The sequence below is a fragment of the Homo sapiens genome, chromosome 14, assembly GCF_000001405.40.
Source record: "Homo sapiens chromosome 14, GRCh38.p14 Primary Assembly".
Classification (NCBI taxonomy): Eukaryota; Metazoa; Chordata; class Mammalia; order Primates; family Hominidae; genus Homo; species Homo sapiens.
In genome coordinates this window covers 55,649,928-55,672,037 of record NC_000014.9, presented here as the reverse complement: position 1 = coordinate 55,672,037, position 22,110 = coordinate 55,649,928, and the positions used below count along the sequence as shown (strand labels likewise).

Below are 22,110 nucleotides of genomic sequence, written 5' to 3'. Positions count from 1 at the left end.
CTGGAGGGCTCATGAAAACACAGACTGCTGCCACCCCACATACATGTTTTGGATTTGGTAGCTGGGTTGGGGCCCAAGAATGTGCATGGTGATGCTGATGCTGCTGGTTCAAGCCCCACACATCGAGAACCACTGCTCTAAGCTTTTCTTTTGTAAATACCTGTTTAATAGTCTTGTGTGATTCATCGACCTTAACTTTCCATTTATTTTCTTCTTGCTCAACACTTCTCTGTAGCTTCTGTAAAATTCCTTCCTACAGACAAAAGCATAGTTGTTTTGAAAAATTCATGTTCTAATGCCAAGATAAAACTATTTAGGCCATGAAGGAAGAAGGTAATGATTTAAAGTAAAATCAAAATGTAGATTAAAAATCATTTCCTACTGTTTCTGCAAGGACGGATTTGTATTTTTCACACTCTAGCTGTAACAATGTGTGCATTTCATCAGCTTCTTTCAACTTGTGCTCTAGAACCTGCAAAGAACGAAATAAAGAAAAACTCCATAATTCTACCAGAAAGTTTTATGCTTCAAGTTTGTTTTAGTACTTAATACTGTATTATGATAAATGGTTTCAAAGTGTTTTATAAGGAAACACTACATTTCAACCTTTCTAAGTAGCGATGAAGTTCATTCAATAACCCTTTTGGTCATTTTTATTAAACAATGTTATAATAAATAGTCTTGGTACTAAAGTCTTTAGTCAGGTGGTAAGATCAAAGCAGACCCACATGTGAAGTATGGTCACAATGCCTATGCTACACACATGGGAAAGAGGATTTTATTCATGCCACTTGAGATACAAGAAAACAATAATAATAAATCCCCCCCAATTTCAGTAGCCAAGGATAAAAACCAATCCAGTTTCTAAATACCTCTAATGACGTATTTGGGGATGCTTCAGCAAACCAGTGAGATTCTACCTATCTCGACTAATCTTTACTTTTTAAACCTAGGCTAAAAAGATAGTAAGGGATAAATATTCAATTTTAGAAACAATTAAAATACAGAGTTAAAGGAATGGCAAACACTAGCTTTGTAAACAAATCAAATGCAAAGACAACTTACTGTATTTCAACTAAAATTTAAACAAAATGAAATCACCTTCTTACACTTTCTCAAAAGAGCCTTATTCGATTATCTTTTATCTTTTCCAAGCTTATGAAGACAAAATCTTATTTGCTTCTTTTTTCTATGTTTAAATTACAAACAGTTCATTTGCTGAACTAACCTTAACCTCCTCTGACCCTGAAGTTCCAGCCATACATTCTTTTGCCTTTTTTTCAAATCCATGCAACCATTCACCATAACTCTGTGGACGAGAAAAGTTAAAATCATTAATTTCCAAAGAAAAAAAAAATCCAAATAAAACAGGTGAAACATTTAAAATAACCAAATTAGATAATTATAAAAGAAACCTACACAGACAAACAGGACATTGCTACAAATTTCAAAGAGGAATGTAACTACTGCATAAGTTGGACATAACCCACTTTGAAAAACAAGCACTAAAAACAGACCTATGTACCTACCATCAAAATAAAATATTATATACCTAACCAAGAGTATTTTCAACTGAATTCTGCAGTTGCATGTAGAAAAACCTGGGTTCAAATCTGGCCTCTACCACTTACTAGCACCAGGACAAATAATCTTTAAAACACAAAAAACCCAGACTAATTTTTCAAAACTGTTTCCAGGTAAATCAGTTCTCAAAAATGAAGTATTTTGAGTTCATAAAGTGAAAGTGAAGTATTTTGAGTTCATAAAGATGTTCCATTTGGAGGATTTCAAATTCTGTGAAAATGCTCCAAGGACTCTAAAATTATTTCATTCAAATTAGGAAATATTATTCAGTATTTTAAAAATCCTAATGAGAAGTGATATGCATACACATTCACTTGTTTAAATCCAACAAAAACTCAATTTGTGCTGACAGGTTAGCTGATGTAAATATGCATGTATTACAGTTTTGGCATTTATTCTAAATTTTAGAATAAATTACTCTAAATTATTGATGCTTATCTGAATTTTACACTTTGATAAAGTGTATCTGTGTGTTACATACTTTAAATCAAATTTCCTCTTATTCCTTCTTTTAAGTCTTTGGATTAAATTTAAGAAAAAAACTCATGAAATTTTTATTAACTGCTATAATATAAACTGTTACATATGCAGCAGAATCAGGATTCTCTGGAAACTATCAAATAACAAAAAACAAAAGTAGATGCTGAGTCACTCCATAGTACAATACCTTTAATATCAAATTAGTTTTAAAACACTATTTAACATTCTCACATTATAAATCTGAACCAAGACTAAATGTACACTATCAGAATCCTACTTAACAGTTTCAACTATTGGTACCCAACATAAATTAAAATAAGATAAAAAACTAGTTTTGTTGCTTAAAGTTTGTAAATTTCCTTCTAGGTCATATAATTTAGATCTCTCCTATGTTGACTGCTCAGCAAAACAGCAAGAGGAAACAGTAAAAAAATTTATATATTTTTATATCTACTAATTATCTTGACTTATCTTAATATTAATGAAGCTTATTGCTTTATTATTTTATAACATAAATAGTTTATTGTCCTTCAAATCTTTACAAACCTAAAATGCCAGACTCTAATGTTAGCACATAGAAAGTTTAGTACATTTCTTGTAGACTATATGCAGAAATATTCAACTTTTGACAAGTATATGAACAAAAGCCAAACAGTATCATCCATTTATTATGATGACTTATAAATATTTCTAGTGTCAAAAAGATCTGGTTACTGAGAGTGGGTAGTATTGCTGTTAGAAAAGAAAATTTTTACTGCTGGTGATCTTATACAATCTTTGAAGAACAGAAATTATCAATCATTAATTCTCTTGGCTCATAAAGTACTGCCAAAAAATACATCCCCCAGTATTATTTCCATAAATATAAAGTAGAAACAAAAACAGGTTATGCCACAAAGAAAAAAAAATTGAATATATTAATAGCAACCCTTTCTCTTAGGTTCAATTTAACAACAGCACTAGAACTGATAGTGTATCTATACGTTTACTCAGTGCTAGGTATTTCATCAGTTCAACTCAAAAGTGGTAGAGATCTCCTAAACTGATCAGATCGGAACATATCCTCGATAGTTACAATGGAAACAAAGGAGTTTTCTCTCCTTACTTGAAATAAATGTAGGCTATACTTAACTCAGACTACAAATAGAACAAGCCATTAAGTTTACTTACCCCACCCCTAGCACCCACAGAGCTCCTTGGAGAAATAGTTGATTCTATGTTTGGGGCAGGAAATGTATATGATAAATCAGGAGCACCTTATCATACCACAAAGCATAGAAGCTATCAAAGTTTAGCAGCATTGTGTCAAAACGACTTGGTAACAAACCTAAATAAGTTCCAATGGGCCAAAGGAAGACAAGCAGACATTACGAATCTCCTCATGAAAGTGCACACCACCGCCCATGAAGTGGTCTTGCCCCTACTCTACCCTACCCCCAAAATACTGAGCCTTAATCTGACCAGGAATCAGATTCCTGATTACAGATTTGATACATAAAAGATACATAAAGAAAAGAGGAACATGCTAACACCACAGGGATGCAGTCAACTAAATCCAAACTGTGGGAAACTTCATAGGAAACCACTAAGTTTTGTTTTTGTTTTTTTTTTAAAGGAGGTGGGGTGTTGCTGAGAAAGAGTCGGGGAACCCGAGGATTAAAAAATATCTAAGAGATGTCTCAAACCAGTTACATACTGACCTTATTCGGATCCTGATTAAAACAAACTACAGTAAGTTATTATTTAATAAAACAGACAATTTATGACAACTGGAGAAATGCATACTATACAAAATTAAGAATGTATTTTTAAGTGTAATATCACACTTTTTAAAAAGAAATGCTTATGTTTTAGAAATGTGTACTGAAATATTTACAGAAGAAATGCTCTGATGTTTGAGTTCCTTCAAAATAATCTAGGGAATGCAAGGTGGGAGGTAAAAGAAGATTGCTTATATGCGTGCCATGTACTGATAAGTGCTATGGAGAGATGTTGGGTACATCAGGCCTCATTATGCTCGTCTCTCTACTGTTGAACAGTTTTCCATTAAATAAGAAAAAAAAAAAAAGACCCTACACTCTATTTTAGGAAACTCACATGCACATTCACTGACTTTCTCTGCCCTCAAATAATTATTAATTCTCTGAACAAAGGAGAACATGTACTACCTCAAGTAAACCAAGTTGTTCTATATTATCTGTAAGATTTCTGCTTGAAGAAGGTAATAGATGACCAAAAATCTTGAGTTTTAAAATGTAAAGAGCCTAGTTCATAGTATCAAGTACATTAAGGAAGTGTTGCTAAAACTAAGAAGCAATCACTTAAAATTAAGTTTTAAATAAAGCCATTAAGAATGTTACCATATTGGTTTTATTAGCATTAAAAAACATTTCTTTCCCAAATATGATGTTTTTAATCCTCTAATGTCTCATATATAAAATTTTATAGAAACAATAGTATCAGGTAAATAGAAATGAGTTTTGAACCAAGTTATTAATCTTTACTGAAAAGCACCAGCTTAACAATAGGAAAGATCAAGAAATCAGCACTCTACTGAAACCAAGTGGAGTGCAAATGATGTTGCTTATTCACACCTTTCTTGAATAATGTCATCATGTTAAAAAAATAATAAATTAGTCTTACCAAATTAGAAGGGACAGACACCTTTGGAAATAATTTTTTGAGAACTTCTTTAGCCTCCAACTCAACAGCTTCCACCTGTTGCTGCCTTTCCTAAAGCAGAAGATGAGCCAAATCAAACTTACAAGATCACAGAATGTTTTTAAAAAAAGAAAAGAAAAAAACTATAGTGTTTTATAATTCTACGGGAAGAAAAAGTTTAAAAAAAATTTTTAATACTAACAAATATTAAAATTTCCCACTTTAAGATATTAAAATGCTCCCATAAGAAAAAATCTGCAAAATCTCTAAAGCATCCTAAATATCAAATAATGCCTTAGCAATATCTGACAATATGGACATTTTCCCTGGCATTTAGAAATCAAGTGATTTGCCTGTCCAGGAACAATTCAAAATCAGACACACAAAAAGCATTTCTTATAGCTAAAACTTTATAAACTACCTATAGTAGAAAATACACATTGGAGGAACACAACTGAGCTTTATTGGCTGGTATATCTCTATTAAAAAATGCATCACTGATGGACTATATAACATCATGGCATTAAAATGGTAACTCTCTTATTTCCAACTTCAAGGTCATGTGAAGTATTTATGCTAAACAAGGAGGACCATCAAAATCTGATGGATGACATAAATGGGAAAAAGAAAGAACAAGGAGCAACTGATGGCATATTACTTCACTAATGCCACACATCATAAAAACTAGTTCTGACACTTGTATATGGACTCTGCTATAAATTTACAAATATTACAAATGTCTAAGTCTAAATGTGCTGATATTAAATCCAAGTCTAATGGATATCAATTATAAACTCAAAACCATGGTTTGTCAAAATTAGGGTAATGACTTATCACGCACCAAAAACAAAAATGTAACATTTCAACTACCTCCACAAGACTTGAAAAAAAAGACCCCTATAAAAATGCACATCTAAACCAAGCCAAGAAAATCATCTAAAAACAACAGTCACAAAGTTCAACAGGTGACAAGAAGGCAAGCAAGCTAGAAACATCTCAACCATATCTTTCCCCCAACATTTATATGTGAAATTTGAAATCTATCACTGATTCAAGGTCTACACACTTCAATTTTAGAAAATCTAATCACATGAAAATTTACACAACAGCTACAGATTTTGCCATTTTCCATACACACAAAAAGCTGTTAAAGATCAGCAGCAGTATTTTTACAATAGGTGTTTTAATAGGATATTTTCAATAATTCAATGAAGTCCACTAATTTTCAGGAATACACCTAACTGCATAAAATAAGGAAAATAATTAATGCTATTTCAAGGACATTAAGAGGTAATTCTTATCATTTGACCAAAGTACTAATCTTTAAAGAAAACCGGTTAGGAAAAGAGACACTGAGGAACAGCTTTTTGAAAACTTTCCAAGGAAAAAAAAAGACTAACTAAAAGAACAAAGTATCTAACATAACCAAGAGCCACAAACATGGGAAGTTACTTTTATTTGGTATTAACAATTTTAGCTAAGTAGTTTTCATCTGACACAGTAGTTTGGTTATAGACAGCAATTTCCATTCCACTTTAACATCTGGGAAAGATCTAATATTGAAAACTGAACTATAATTTGCATACCATCTTTAAGTGAAATGTATAAGAGTTTCTTTCAGTAGCTCCTCAAGAGTATTTAGCCTTTAAAAATAATCCTGTAAAGACAGCATATATCATCCTCTTTACATTTTAGGTAAGCTGACCGTAACTTATTTCTAGTTAAAATACTAAAAGTGTTTCACATAGTTCCTTTTCATCACAACATAATTTATGGCACTGGGTCAATCAACATCCCTTTACACGTATGCTATCTAAGGACTGTCTAAATTCCATTGAAATATAGAAGACTTTCAATTCTATTCTCTGTAGATCTTTAGCTATGCAAGAAGGCATTATGCACAAAAATTCTTTCTTTTAGAATCATAAAATGCAAAAATGCCTATGGCAAGTAGCATGTAACTTCTTGTAGGAATGGTGTGATTAGCACCCACATACCCAGTCCCACTAAAAAAATAAAACCAAAAAGGTGGCTCTTAACCATCAAAAACAAAGTAATATAAACAACCAGAAACCACACTAAAACCCTCATCGCTGACAGAAATGACTGTACAATTGCAACTACTCCCAGTGAAATAATAATGAAATGTCCTATCTGACCTAGATTTTCCTACTCTCTGGTCCCAATATACCTCTCAGCTATCTCGAATTTAACCTTTACTGAAAATTATGGCTAGATAAATAGGGATATAGTTAAATACAAATCCACTAAGCTACAGGAAATGTAACTACAAACGTATACTTGCTAAAAAAAAAAAAAATTTACAGAACTATTTTATGCTTAAACATTCCTTCAGGTGTCACTAAGACTTATATTAAAGATTCAATAGAGTACCATGGCACACAAAATATTTTCATAGTGCTAAAATTAATCATGTAGGTTCTTTCTTTTACCTGTCTGCAAAATTCAATACCCCTGTTTCACATTTACACTTGACAGGAATTTTCAAAATACTTAACTGGACTGGCAGATTCAATTTTCTCAATCTTTAAAAACAACTTCTCTATTACAATTCATTAGAAATCTTCACACCCAATGGTACAACTTGAGCTCAAGGAGAATGTCCTCCATTGTTCTGAAGACAGAGGGGGCTATATATTTCAGGAGTACTTTACATACTCTGGTCAAGAGAATTATCCCTTGATAGTAATATTTCATCTAAACATGCCATGTGTCATTGCTAGCCAGTAATACATGAAGTTTCAGTCCACCACCTCTAAGGAACCATTCCAAGCAACACACCCAAAGTTGATGCCTTTCCTGTATTTAAGACTTTGATCATTTCTCTACCTTATCTGAGACATCTTGGTGTGCCCTCCAAAACACGTAGTTTATGGCACATCCTACATATTCAAATGTGTTTGTTAATTCACCTAGATTTCTTTGGTTCAAAGTTTTCATGAAAGTTATCTTAACCAACCCAAAAGGCGCATATTGTCTGACAAGAGGTTAACATCGGTCTTCTGAGACTCTTCAGCTTAAAGTTGTGCTCAACAAAGCCCAAACAATCAGGTAATCACAACAAATCAGCATGCCCAAAATTAAAGCTTCAAGGAGTAGATGAAAAAAGCAGAGATGATAGAGATGATAAATATGGATAAGGAGATTTTATATTTAAATTGCAGTAAAAGTAAATGCTTTAGTCTGATTTTAAGACAAGCTGCAGATTTTCTCTGTTCAGTGGATTGTTTCTAGGAGTTAGCATTACAACCTTGGAAGTCTTGTTCACTTTGTCCTGCAGCATTTTTTCAGTTGATGCCAATGCTTCCATTGCTTCCCAGTTTTTCTCCCGAAGGTCCTAATCATTTTTAGAAAGAATGATTTCAGTTTATCCATTATTGAAAGATTTTTGCTTTTTTACTTCATCAGTATTTTGCACTGCATTTAAATGCTGGTTACTGCAAAATTATTTCAATGGGAAAATATGCATATTAGCAAAAAAATAAAAAGCAATGTTTAGAAGTTTGAATGAGAAAATAAAGACGCCCACTTTCCATGTTTTAGTATATATATCAAATAGGCCAGCTTTTAAAATAATTACTATGCACATGTGACAAAGAAGAAAGCATTCAAAAGTAAAGACACAAACCAAGAATACATACATGATTTCAGGTACATTGAACATTAGAAGATTAAAGACAGAGCAAATATAGAAGTATTATAAAAAGCTTTTCATGTGATGTTTAAACGAGGCCCAATAACACTCATAGGACTTTCCACTGCAGTGTAACGTTTTTTCTCTATGGTTTAATACAATTAACATGTTTCAAATCTACCTAGGAATCCCATAGTAACCCACTGTGTCCTATGTCTTTCTTGGCATGGCCAAACATTCATGCCACAAAACAACCTTACATGAATTGTATGAGCTAGTTGATCAAAGCAAAGGGGAAGGCTGGAAGGCTATAAAATAGATTCTCTTGGAGGCGAAAGAGGTTATTAAAAATTGAGAGATCTGGATTTTAACAGCATTTCATTCACAAATATAATCTGCTATATTTCAGTCTTTTTTTTCAGAATGAGAAATCTAAACAGATAAAAACCAACAACGAAAAATAAAAAGCCAATAATCACCATTTATTACTTAATATATGCCAACCACTGTACTTGGCAGTTCACAAATTCTCACCGTTACAACAACCCCATGAGGTATTTATTCCCATTCTATAGATAGGGAAACCACAGCTCAAGTAAGTTAGGAAACTGAGCCAAGTATACACAGAAAACGAAGTGGCAAAACTAGAAGGAAAGACTGACACTGCTATCTGCTGGCCTCCAGTGTCCTGGCTCTTTTCACACGGGTTCAATGTCTCCAGCGCTGCTGCTGCTGCTGCATTACCATGCCCTCCTTATCTCAGAAGTCCAATAATAAAACACAGTTAAGATGTTAGCAGTATATCGGCAAGTTCACCTCAAGTTTTGTGGCTAAGCAATGCTGTTAGTACTGTTATACCAACACAGAAGTGGCAATTCATGTACCTAATTTTGACAAACTCAGGGGTACAAGAAAATGTCAACTTGTTAAATTAACAATTTAACACAAACTTTGAAAAACAGAAAACACACATCCATTTACTAGCAATACTCCCTTAGATTTCAGTAACATTTTATCCTTGCTCAAGTCTTAGCAATCACACTACAGTGTACAAAAATTTCTTCTCTAGCAAGAATGCTTGGACTCTACTTACAGGTGTTGCCCTCTGGTATGAGAAAAGTTAAGAAATTCCACTAAATTGTTTGTCTATTCAGTAAGTTATTAGGGTTCATATTTCTGAAAGCACTATCCCTTCCCTTTCTAGTATAAATGTAGTCAGGTTCTAAAGCCTCTAACACACTTAATTACCAAAATTTGAACCACCTCTCAGTTAAAAATGGGAGGTTCTGGCCAGGTGCCGTGGCTCACACCTATAATCCCAGCACTTTGCGAGGCCGAGGCAGGTGGATCACTTGAGATCAGGAGTTCGAGACCAGCCTGGCCTACATGGTAAAACCCCACCTCTACTAAAAATACAAAAAACATTAGCTGAGTATGGTGGTGCACGCCTGTAGTTCCAGCTACTCAGGAGGGTGAGGCAGGAGAATCGCCTGAACCCAGGAGGCCGAGTTTGCAGTGAGCCAAGTTCAAGCCACCTCCAGCCTGGGCAACAGAGCGAGACCCTGTCTTAAAAAAAAAAAAAAAAAAAGGGCAGGAGGAGGTTCCAGAAGGCTTTCAAAAGACCCCATTACTGAGTATACTGGGTTTGAATACTGGCATTACTTTTAGTTTACAAAAAGGCCAGCCCAATCTAAGAGGAAATATCTTTGATTTTAAAATACCAAGCTGAAAAACATGTTTTTCCAAATAAAAGTTCAACAAAAAGTCAATTGCATTTTTAGCTTTTTAAAATAACTAAAGGTATAATAATTATAGCTTCAACATTTAAATATTTATAAGAATAAGAATTCATCTTTTCACTTATTTAAAAAAAACTGTTCTCCAATAATGCCCCGCCCCCCGAAAAAACTACACACAGAAAATAGTACTTTCTTACAAAGATTAAGAAATCTAAAGTAAAAGTAGATTTAAAAAAAATTCCTGAACCATATTTCAGTGTTAAAGTAATAAAAAGAAAAGCTTCATTCTGATAAAGATCTACTTACATTGTTTTTCTTCCTCTGGTGTTCAACTGCATCCTTCAAAGAATCTAACTCATTCCAGAGACCACTTATTTCTTTCTCTCTTTCTGAAATTCTAAACCAGAACATGAATACATGTAGCAAGATTTTAGGTAAACAGTAATACAACTTAGATCCCTACCTATCAACATTTGCTATTACAAAATAAAAATATCAAGAGATAGCACCTTGAAAAGTACATTAAAGAGTCTACCTACTGTTGACCATACAAAGCCCATCCTATGAATTTCAGAAATGATTTCTAATATAAGTTTTTATGCCTAATATGGTATGCTCAGGCTTGTGCTAAAGAGAAATCTCATCCCCTAAGAAACATATTATGAAGATATGAACTGTTGTAGCTATTTATAGTTTTACCTGGGTCAGTACACAGTAGCTATTTTTAGAGGAGTTAAAACTGATGTAGAAGCAGTCCCTTAAATATATTTTTTTTTCCAGAGGGCAATGAATCAGTTATAACTTTAAATGGCTAACCCACAACAAAAGTATAATATTAAAATGAGCTCAGTGTTTTCCTGCCATTTTCATACCAATCTCAACATTCATGTTTTTTTCTGCTACTGTTTCCCAGAAACGCAGAAGGCAATGGCAAAGATTCATAATTTGATTCTGTTATAGTTGAGAGTGGCTGGAGTAGAAAGTTAAATAACAAATAGCTCTTCCCTGAGAATCAGTGTCCATATAAGAGGCTGGCAAACTAGGGCTATGGGCCCACTCCACAGTCTGTTTTTGTAGGTCCTCAAACTAAGAGCTGTTTTTACATTTTTAAAGTGTTGTTTTATTTATACATGTACACACATATACACATATATATACACATGTATAAAACAGACCTATGGGTCCCACAGGCCTAAAATGCTATCAGGGCCTTTACAGAAAATATTTGCCAACCTTTTCTCTATATAGTCAAACTCAAGACTCGATTTAATAGTCAATAATTCTAACCTAGTACACAAGCAACTCTGTAAACCAACCAAGATGGAAAAACATTTAGATTAAAAGAAAAAAAATTAACAATATTCCCAATGATAGATCACTTACATCATCTATTAATATACTTAATGTGGTTGACATTTTAACATGTTGAAACACACTAACTTATGTGAAATGACCTTAAATGTAGCCTCACAGAGAAAATTACAGGCCAACAAGAAAAAGGTATCAGTAAAAAAAAAAAAAAAAAAAAACTCCTTAAGAAAGACAATCATAAAGACTATATGTATGTATTTTTTTTTTCTTGGTGCCAGGCTGGAGTGCAATGGTGCGAACTTCCTGGGCTAAAAAGATCCTCCCACTTCAGCCTCCCGAGTAGCTGGGACCACAGGTGCATGCCATCACACCCGGAATTTCTAAACTTTTCGTAGAGACGAGGTCTGACTATGTTGCCCAGGCTGATCTCAAACCCCTGAGCTCAGTGATCCTCCCGTCTCAGTCTCCCCAGCTGCTGGGATTACAGGCGTGAGCTACCACATCTATCCTAAAATTTCTTTAAAAAATGAAGCTAAGACAAAATTTGCATCATTCAATTACACAATCACATCTAGAAGAAAGAAGACCCAGTAAGATAACTGACATAATAGAAGGTGATTTAGAAAACCCTGCAAAGTATAGTTTAACTTGATTTGATGTTTTCTGAATGCCTAAAAAAACAAAAACAAACATCTCCCTCAACAAAATATTCAAATCCAAATACCATAAAAAAAGCATCTTAGCCAAAGGTACTACTCAACTCTAAACTGCAATTCAAGATATCCAAATAGAACTGTAAAAATCAGGTGCCATTTGCAGTTACACTAAATTGCTTATTTGAGAATGGTTTACCACATAAAAATAGTTACGACTTTATAAACTGTGACTCAAACTTATTACTTACACTTTTAATAATTCTTCATGAGGGGGAAAAGAAGATGCCTATCAAAAGAGTTAAATGTTATTTCAGAACAAAACTTTTCAGGAGACTTAAAAACATTGAAGCTTTTCTCAAATATAAATTAAGAAAACAACAAAAGTAAAAATAGTATATATTTCATATGCCAGTAACCCTGACTTTAATCAAGTGATTTTAATAAAAACATGTACAAATCTGTAAAATGTATGGAATGCTAAATCCAATCTCTACTGTCGCAACGTACTTGAACTCTTCATTTAATAAGTATTTATCAATTTCCCACTATGTGCATGGAAGCACACCTTACATTTTCAAACTGCACAATTCAAATTTGACTACATAAAACTGTTAAGCTTCCAAGTTAAAAAAAAAAAAAAAAAACAGAAATCAAAAGCAAAACTAGGACAAGTTATGTTTCCTCACGTTTAACAAAGTTATTTATACATCAACATGCAAAGGTACACAGCCCTTCATATATGGTATTTATTCCTTGGTGACAATAATCTCTCAAGCTTCTTGTTTGCAAGGACTCCAATTCATTTGTTTCTCAAAATACTATCAAGTCTATCCATATACATGCATAAATTAATTTACAGGCTATTTTGGGTAGCATCTTTTATAAAAACACACTTTTGATTTACCAAGCAGAATTATAACTTGAAAACCTCTTTTAAATAGTAGTAGACTATTGCTTATGATACATTTGTTAGTTTCTCTCCAGTTACTAATGTTTCATTTGGGAAGAGGGGAGATAAGAGTGTGTACACATATCTTTAACCCAACCTCTACAGTATTTAAACTGACTTGCTAAGAATTCTAGGATCAGAAAACACACATGAATACAAAACAGAGCTGGAATACCGGCAATAATATTATTTGTGTATACTTTATAGATTTGTTTTACTTTGGATATGACATAGCAAGTTGCTTTCTTTTATATAAAATTTGATAAACATAAATAAAACATACTTCATTCTCAATGAAAATGCAGAAATGGCAAAAATACTCATATGTCACTGGTTATATAATTTTTTTGCCACGTAAGTGAAAGGCAAGACATCTAATAATACCTACCTGTTGGTAGTTTTGTTGTTTAAGCTGCTCAATTTGGGACTTAAACAATTTGTTTTCATCTTGTACATCCTAATTAAATAAAAATTAAACATCAGTATCTAAACAGATTTTTTCCACATAAACTTAGATCATACAAGCTAGAAACAGATCATACAAGCTAGAAAAATTCCAAAATAGCAATAATTTTAAAGGGTGTAATAAGCTCTTTATTAAAACATATGATGAAATTAGAGTATTTATATTAGTACTAGCTGCGGAGTTTGCATGTCTCAATGGAACAAAATAGAATCCAGAAATATACCGAAATAGCTCTAAGAATTTAGTATGAAGTGACATTTCAAATCAACCTCAACTCTAGTAACATTTTGGGTTTCATATTTTTCTTTGTTGTGGGGGTTTTATCCTATGCACTGCTGGACATTTAGAAGCATCCATGGCACCCATCCACTAGATGCCCCAGCCCGCCTGCCCCAGCTGTGACAACCAAAAATGTCTTCAGATATTGACAAATGTCCCCCTGGGGAACGGAATTACTACTGTTATGATGGATTATTTAATAATGTGGCTAGCCTTCTCTTTTTAATGGTTACAATGTTATTGTTACAGCTTACTGAAATAAGTTACACTAAATAAGCTAAACAAACAAACAAACAAAAAGAATTATAAACACATTAGAAGAAAATGTAATTTTTTTTTTTTAAAGATGGCAGTCTTGCTGTGTTACCCAGGCTGGAGTGCAGTGGTGTGATCTTAACTCACTGCAGCCTCTGCCTCCCGGGTTCAAGTGATTCTCCTGTCTCAGCTTCCCGAGTATCTGGGACTACAGGCACCTGCCACCATGCCCGGCTAATTTTTGTATTTTTTTAGTAGAGTCGGGGTTTCACCACGTTGGCCATGTTTGGTCTCGAACCCCTGACCTCAAGAGATCCACCTGTCTCAGCCTCCCAAAGTGCTGGGATTACTACTGTGAACTACCACACCCAGCCGAATACATTTTTATGATCGTAGAGAGATACCTTTCTTCCAGAGACTTAAAACTCTAGAAATTACTTATATTTGAGTACATAAAAGTTTCAAATTTCCCAAAAAGGGGAAAAACACAAATGAAGTCAGAAGAAAAAATGGGGAAAATAAATCACCTCATATAATAACAAAAGGTTATTTAATTTCCCTTATTACATAAAAAGGATCTTACAAATTAGTAAAAAAAAAAAAAACGTCAACTCAGTGGAAAAAGTGTGGGAAAAATTAAAGGACAATTCATATAAAAATGGCTTGAACATACGAAAAATGCTTAACTTCTCTCGCAGTCAAATGCAAATTAAAAATAATCTTACCATCTTTCAAGTATAATATCAAAAATTTTTATCCTTGTCAATGTTGGAAAGGAAGAAGGTGAAATGGCCCTTAGTTGGTGAGAGTGTCAATTAGTGAAAACACTTTTGCAGGTCTATCTAGCATTGTCTAACAAAATTTAAAATGAACCTACATGAGAGGGAGAAGGAATGTGGTAGACTCAAACCTTGAAGCATGTAATGTGAGCAAGATTAATCCAAGACAATGTAGGCATCTACACATTTGCTATGACTTCAAATCAATCTTCTGTAAGTAAGTTGAATACTAACTGCATGAAGGTAAGATATTGATTTTCTATTTAACTATCTCTTTTAACAAACAAAAAAGCTACATAAGCCTTGATCCAGAATTTCACTTCTAGGATACAGATAACACTAGTAAAAGTATTCAAAACATGTGCAAGGATATTCACTGCTGCACTGTTTGTGCAGAAAAAACAGCCCTAAATAATCTAGGTATCCATCAACTGGAATTGGTTATATAAATGATATATGCTGGCTGCGGTGGCTCACACCTATAATCTCAGCACTTTGGGAGGCCGAGGTGGGAGGATCACCTGAGGTCAGGAGTTCGAGACCAGTCTGGCCAACATGCTGAAACCCCATCTCTACTAAAAAATACAAAAATTAGCTGGGCATAGTGGTGCATGCCTGTAGTCCCAGCTACTCTAGAGGCTAAGGCAAGGAGAATGGCTTGAACCCAGGAGGAGGAGGTTGCAGCGAGCCGAGATCACGCCACTGTACTCCAGCCTGAGCAACACAGCAAGACTCTGTCTCAAAAATAAAAATAAAATAAATGATATAACCATCCAATATCATAAAACTATTAAAAGTTAAGGCAGAAATGTGCTTTATATGGAAAGATCTTGAAAACACTGTTAATTGTGAAGAAAGCAAAATATACAAGTTAGTATAGTTCAACAGAGTATTTAATAAACAAGTATACATACATACACACATTTTATGCATGGGTACTTACTCAAAAAACATGCCAATAATGACACCTAGTATCTGGGTGGGAGGGAGACTCATTCTGTACTCTATTTTTTGGCAGCAGTTAAAAATTATTTTAAAGCATGCAAAGACAATAATTTACAAAATAATTAATTTTAAGTCACCATATTCACCTGTAACAGCTGTGTTTTGCTAGAAAGATCACTCTCCCTCTCTTTTAGCATGGCTTCTAACCTCTTCAATTCATTTTCCTTTTCTTTCAACCTAGAATTTTTTACAAAGATCTGCATTAACTAAAGTACATAAAAAAGGAAAACCAGACTCCAATATCACCCCTAAGAAAAAAGATGGCAGAAACAATACATACCAGCTTTTTTTCCCCCATATTATACCAACTTAGAAGTTTGTTTAAAAAGATATTTCTAGGATCATTCTACTCAGTCATACTTAACATTTCTTAAGCAAATGTGGCTTTATCTAGGAAGAAACTCTAAAACAAAAACTAAGAACAAAACTATATTTTATCAAATTGTTGCAAAAATTACCACTTCAAAAGCAAGGAGTTTTGCCCCCAAGAATCTTAGTCATAATTTGTTGACCCTGGAAATTACAAAATATGTCTAACCTTTGTACTGAAGAGATGCTATGGATAATTTAATCTGTTTTTCCCTTACCCAATGCTGACGTAAATCTTACTCTATCTAGCCCAAGTGAATCTCAATTGCCCTGGTCATCCTAAGCAATAGACCGCTAGCATAACACCACCATCAAAATGATGTGTTTAACTGTTTCCTCAGGATAGGAAATCTTATCCATTTCGGTATCCCCAATGCCAGAAAGCACATAATAGAGTCTCAAGTATTCGTTGAGCTGAACACTTATTTTTACCACACCTTGATCCAGAATTTCAAGATGCTTATAAATCTATATGAAAAAAATGACAAAACAGCATACATGAAGAGTGAGATAAATGTATAAAAAGGGAAAAACTCAAATGCATATTGCTAAGTAAAAGAAGGCAATCCAAGGGTGAGCATGGTGGCTCATGCCTGTAATCCCAGCATTTTGGGAGGCCAAGGTGGGAGGATCACTCAAGCCCAGGAGATCAAGACCAGCCTGGGCAACACAGGGAGACTCTGTTTCTAAAAAATTAGCCAGGCATGGTGGCATGTGCCTGTAGTCCCAGCTACTCGAAAGGCTGAGGTGGGAGGATCGCTTGAGCCCAGGATGTCCTGGCTGCAGTGAGCCATGATCACAGCCCTGCACTCCATGTACTCCAGCCTGGGCCACAGAGAAAGACTCTGTCCCAAAAAAAAAGAAAAGAAAAGAGCCAAACCAGAAAAGCCATATACTGTATGATTTCAACTACGATATTCTGGAAAAGGTAAAACTCTGAAGACAGTAAGATCATTGGTTGCCGGGGGGTGCTGCCGGGATGTGGAGGAAGGGAGGGAGGGATACACAGGTAGAACACAGGAGATTTTTAAGGCAGTAAAACTGTTTTGTATGATACTGTAATGATAGATACATGTCATTATACATGTTAAAACCCACATAGTTTCCTAATGGAAACTATGAACTTCAGTTAATAACAACGATAACAATGTACTGCTATTGGCTCATCACTTGTAACAAATGTACCATGCTAATGCAAGATGTTAATAGGGAGAATTGGTATTTCTCTTTTTCCTATAAATATAAAAAGTTCTCCACCACAAAAAATAAAATCTATTAATTTAAAAAAGAAAATGGCAAAAAAAAAAAAAATGTAAGGCAGAAATATACCTAAAATTACCTACTTTAATGGTCTACATATCTCTACTATAAACAGGCCAGAAATGAGGCCCTAAGCTTTCCAAGCAAATAAGAGATAAGCACCTCGACAGTTACACCATAGCCAAAAGACAAACAATAATTGTACAAATGAGTAATCTTCCAAGAACAGAGTAATCTCCCTTTTAGAAAGATAATAACCTAATAAATATCCTCAATATCTTGACAGTTTAAAACGGGGCACTTCTTTAAAACAAATATCAATAAAGAGTAATGGTATCACCAAGAAAAATTTGTTAAAAGCAATTTTAAAGGGGGCCAAAAAGATCAGGTCCAGATACCCTTTCCCACCATTGTAACCTGCTGTACCTTAAGACAACAGACTCTCTAGAATAAAACATTTTCTAAGATTAATATCTACAGAAACTGACACCTCTTATGCTGACTAGATTCAGTTTTCCTATTCAGCACAGGATAATATGACAAGTTCCATTTTCCCTATAAATAAATTAAAATTACAGAAAGGTTTAAAATTCATTATCAAGATTATGGCTAAGATTATCTTTTGGTTAATTCAGAGATGTTACTAACATCTAATTCAAATACTAATTTTCATTTGAAATAAGTTTAATCTCTATAATAATTGCATATTTTGTTTTAAAAAATAACTTAAAACCAGCCTATATTTGCAGAAAGAATAATTGAAAAAATGGGTTTGATGGATTTGGAAAGGATAAAGTCTCCAGGTATCTGAAAGCATTTAAATAACCTTTATTTTACCCAACAGAGACTTAGCCTATTTGCGTCTGGAATTATAATTTCCACTTAACAATAAAGTTAATGATGTACAGGAAACTCATCATTATATTCAAGCACACCCTGGAAAATAATGAGACGTTTGTTTCTCTTCAAAATGTGGTCTTAAAGCATACTTACACAATCTCAAGTTCTTCAAACTGTGATGCAGAAGAGGCCTGAGAAACAGAATCATATTTTTAATGCTGTTAGCATTAAATGTTATGTTGTAGGTGCTAAAACATATATATGGAATCACCCACCAATAAAAACAAAAACATAATTATATGCAGTAAATTTAAGATTGGGTCATTTATAAAGCAAGGACAGAATGAGTTTTATTAAACAATTTTTCATACTTATTAAAAGATTAAAGACTAATACTTTAAACAGATAGTTAAGGATGAACTAAGAGTCTATTTGAAAAGGTAGAGATAAGGAAATGCTTGTAGGCTCAGGTTGACAGATTAAGCAGTTAAGTATGACTTGCCAGAAATAAAAGCTAACTTATTTAAACAACAACAAAACTATGGTACAACATAATTTTTCTGGCAAAGAAACTCAGAACATATTAACATCTTTACTTTCTAATGCCTTAAACAAAGATTTATCATTCCTTATGTAACATGTTGGTAATTTGTTTATACTATACCTCTTTCAAGTTATGTTGTGCTACTTCCTGAACATGTGCTTTTAAAGATTCATTTTCTTCTTGAAGATCCTTAAAAAGAATAGGTGTAAATTAAATTGATAGTCAAGTATAAAAAGGCTATTTTTTATTGTTTTTAATTTCTCACCTGTAACCACTTCCCTGTATTGGCTAGGTCTTTCTCTTTCTCTTCCAAAACAGCCTTCATGGTATTCATCTGTTCCTCTTTTCCTTTTAATCTGATAATAAATTAATCAGAACTCTAAATGAAAATGTTACATGACCATAAAAAGCAAAAATCTTAGACACTGAAAAAAGTATATTTTGGGTAGTACTCACAGACCAGCTGATTGAACTAAACTAAAACTTATCAAGTATAAAGGCATACAAGGCCAGGCGCAGTGGCTCACGCCTGTAATCCCAACACTTTGGGAGGCCAAGGCGGGCGGATCACAAGGTCAGGAGATCAAGACCATCCTGGCTAACACGGTGAAACCCCGTCTCTACTAAAAATACAAAAAAATTAGCCGGGCGTGGTGGTACGCGCCTGTAGTCCCAGCTACTCGGGAGGCTGAGGCAAGACAATCACTTGAACCCGGGAGGTGGAGGTTGCAGTGAGCCGAGATCATGCCACTGCACTCCAGCCTGGGCGACAGAGCGAGATTCCATCTCAAAAAAAAAAAAAAAAAAAAAAAGGCATTTAAGATTTTGGAGACAATCAAATCAGGAAGCATAGGATGATTAAGGAAAACCATTCTATCACTGAATATCCAGACATGAGTAAGTTAGTTTAGCTGTACCTCTACCCTGTATCACCTTGTTTAAGTCAATACAAACAAATTTGGAAAACTTACTACAATTGATCTGGATGTGGAAGATACCAATTTCACATGGCTATTAAAATAGGCAAAGAGCAACATCTCAATTTGAGGTTATATTCAGATTATAAATCATGAAAAGACTTCCTACCTCCTTCCCACAAAAAAACTTAATAGGTTAAAGCCAAATAAGAAACTTAGGGCCCTTAGGAGTTTTGAGATAATCAGTATTTTCGTATTTTCTAAAACACCACTTGAAATCAAGAAGCTATAATTTTCATTATACTTCTATTTAACTCATGAAAAAGAAATAGTAAAAGGAAATGAGATAAATGGTACTTACAAGTTCTGAAGCTCCTGAACTTTGGAAGTGATAGATAACTGAAATACAAAGGACAGAAAAATCAATTAATAATCCTTTCAATTTAACTTATTAAGCTTTATAAGTCTTTATAATGTGTACACTTCAAATTACAAAGAAACTAGCTGAATTTTTCATGACAAAATGAGATGTGTTTTGAGTTTACCTCCTCTTGACTCCAATAACAGGAAAATTAATAAACTAAAAATAATAAGGGGGAGGGACAAGGAAAATAGTTATGAATAATAAGTCTAACTAATGTGATGCTTTTTTTCTTTAGGCTAGTCAAGTGAAGCAGTGGGATGGAGAAGGAATAAAGAAATCTGTAACTGGTTGTGATCAATCAGTTGTAAACACCACTGCACTCAGACCAGTCATACTTCTACAGTACTGAAAATTAGAATATTAACTCTCCACACACCTCCCTACTGTATCAGAGCTCTTCTCCATCCCAGTTTTCAAGGCCAACTACTCAACAGTACTCTATGATGTCCTTTTTTAATTTTTTCTTAATCATACACAGTCTGATAATACCTTTTATCCTCCACTCTCTTCTCACAGGCCCTTCAGATTCTTGGCTTAGATGTCAGTTCCTCAGGAGAAGACTTTCCTGAACTCTCAATCTATATTAGAAAAGTATGATCTTTTCATCCTACCTGTTTCATTCAACACATTATCTCCAATCACTAGCTAGTGATCCACCAATCACGAGTACAGTGCTTTGACAAGTACTGCTTTGACAATAAATATTGCTGAATGAATCTATGAGATGAATGAATCATCTCTTCAATGAAATCTCACTATTTTTTCAAGAAAGCCTTATCAGATTAAAATCAGCAAAACTCATCAATTTCCAGTAATCACATCTATGTCTGAAATCCCAATGAAACTTGTACTTTGTTCTAAGGCAGAGATAGAGCAATGTATATTCAAATAACATTTTGGTCCATGCAGTTTTCTTTTAGAAGGGGGCAGGGGGATTAAAAAAATTGCCAAACTGTTTCGTGTTTCATTTGTAATTGGCAAACTAAAATGAAACATTAACACAAAAAATGTTCTAGAAAATAACCATTAACAGTTAAAATTTTTAAGATATACAGATTAAAATATCAAGAATACTTTCTCAAATCAGGCAAAAAATAAAATTAAAAGCACATAACCCAATATACCTACAGCATACTAAGTTTTTTCTGAGTAACAAGAAAAAAAATCAAATAGCTCATAAATAACACAACTAATAAATCTGTCATGCTATGGCTCTGGGATTTTTACCTGTTGAGCCTTTTCAAGCTGGACATTTCCTATTTCTTCTTTTAGAGCCTTTATTTCCTGTTTCAAATCCTTGACAATGACAAAACAGACAAGATTGGACAATGGAAACACAGAAATTGACATAAAATGCAATGCACAGACAAAAACACACGAAATTAAATGATATTAACTAAAGTTGATAAACAAAAACATAAAACACAGTTCTCTGTCTCCCAATACCTGAACAGTTTTCTCCTTGTTAGCAACTTTGAGAAGTTCTGCCTCCAGAAGCTCTTCTACAGACTTGATCTTTCCATCTTTCTCATGGATCCTTCAATAAAGAAATGCAGTATAATTTGATTAGAAATCACCAAGACCCACCAAGATATAAAAATAGCACCAAATAATGAAATGGCTCTCCAAATCAACCCTTTCCCATTTTAAATAAAATAGCAACATGTCTTTGTAGAATGGCCAGGGTGAACATAAAGCTCCTCCTAACAGACAGCTGAAGCCTATGCACACAAGAAGTCAGTTAAGTGCTTCAGAAGTACATCAGAAATATAAGATTTGTACCCTGAGGAATACAGAGGAGAATCAAGTTCCATTCAACTATACTGACTCCCATCCTCTGGAAATAGTTTTTTTTTGTTTTTTTTTTTTTAATTATACTGAATTTGGGAAAGCACAGCTAAGTTCTCTTATTCCATTAAGAAAAATTATAGAGTGAA

The 22,110-nt window shown here is 33.8% G+C and overlaps 1 protein-coding gene across 43 annotated transcripts in view; it reads right to left on the bottom strand.

The window, feature by feature from the left end:
• KTN1 (kinectin 1) overlaps positions 1-22,110 on the bottom strand; it is a 104,378-nt gene that overhangs the window by 12,547 nt on the left and 69,721 nt on the right. For 13 of the 43 annotated variants that reach the window (NR_073129.2, NR_175287.1, NR_175285.1 and 10 more), the window contains 15 exons: positions 21,620-21,710; positions 21,401-21,469; positions 20,111-20,148; positions 19,098-19,188; positions 18,953-19,021; positions 18,442-18,479; positions 15,906-15,996; positions 13,424-13,492; positions 12,335-12,372; positions 10,426-10,516; positions 7,997-8,083; positions 4,708-4,797; positions 1,229-1,309; positions 383-472; positions 161-253 (listed from right to left, as the gene is read on the bottom strand). Coding sequence is in view for 33 of the 43 variants with exons in the window: in NM_001402686.1 (NP_001389615.1) it covers positions 161-253; positions 383-472; positions 1,229-1,309; positions 4,708-4,797; positions 7,997-8,083; positions 10,426-10,516; positions 12,335-12,372; positions 13,424-13,492; positions 15,906-15,996; positions 18,442-18,479; positions 18,953-19,021; positions 19,098-19,188; positions 20,111-20,148; positions 21,401-21,469; positions 21,620-21,710 (1,126 nt within the window). In the remaining 10 variants the exon portion in view is untranslated. Of the gene's footprint in view, positions 1-160; positions 254-382; positions 473-1,228; positions 1,310-4,707; positions 4,798-7,993; positions 8,084-10,425; positions 10,517-12,334; positions 12,373-13,423; positions 13,493-15,905; positions 15,997-18,441; positions 18,480-18,952; positions 19,022-19,097; positions 19,189-20,110; positions 20,149-20,662; positions 20,752-21,400; positions 21,470-21,619; positions 21,711-22,110 lie in introns of all 43 variants that reach the window. The other 30 variants (NR_175290.1, NR_175283.1, NM_001402693.1 and 27 more) reach the window with 9 other exon arrangements.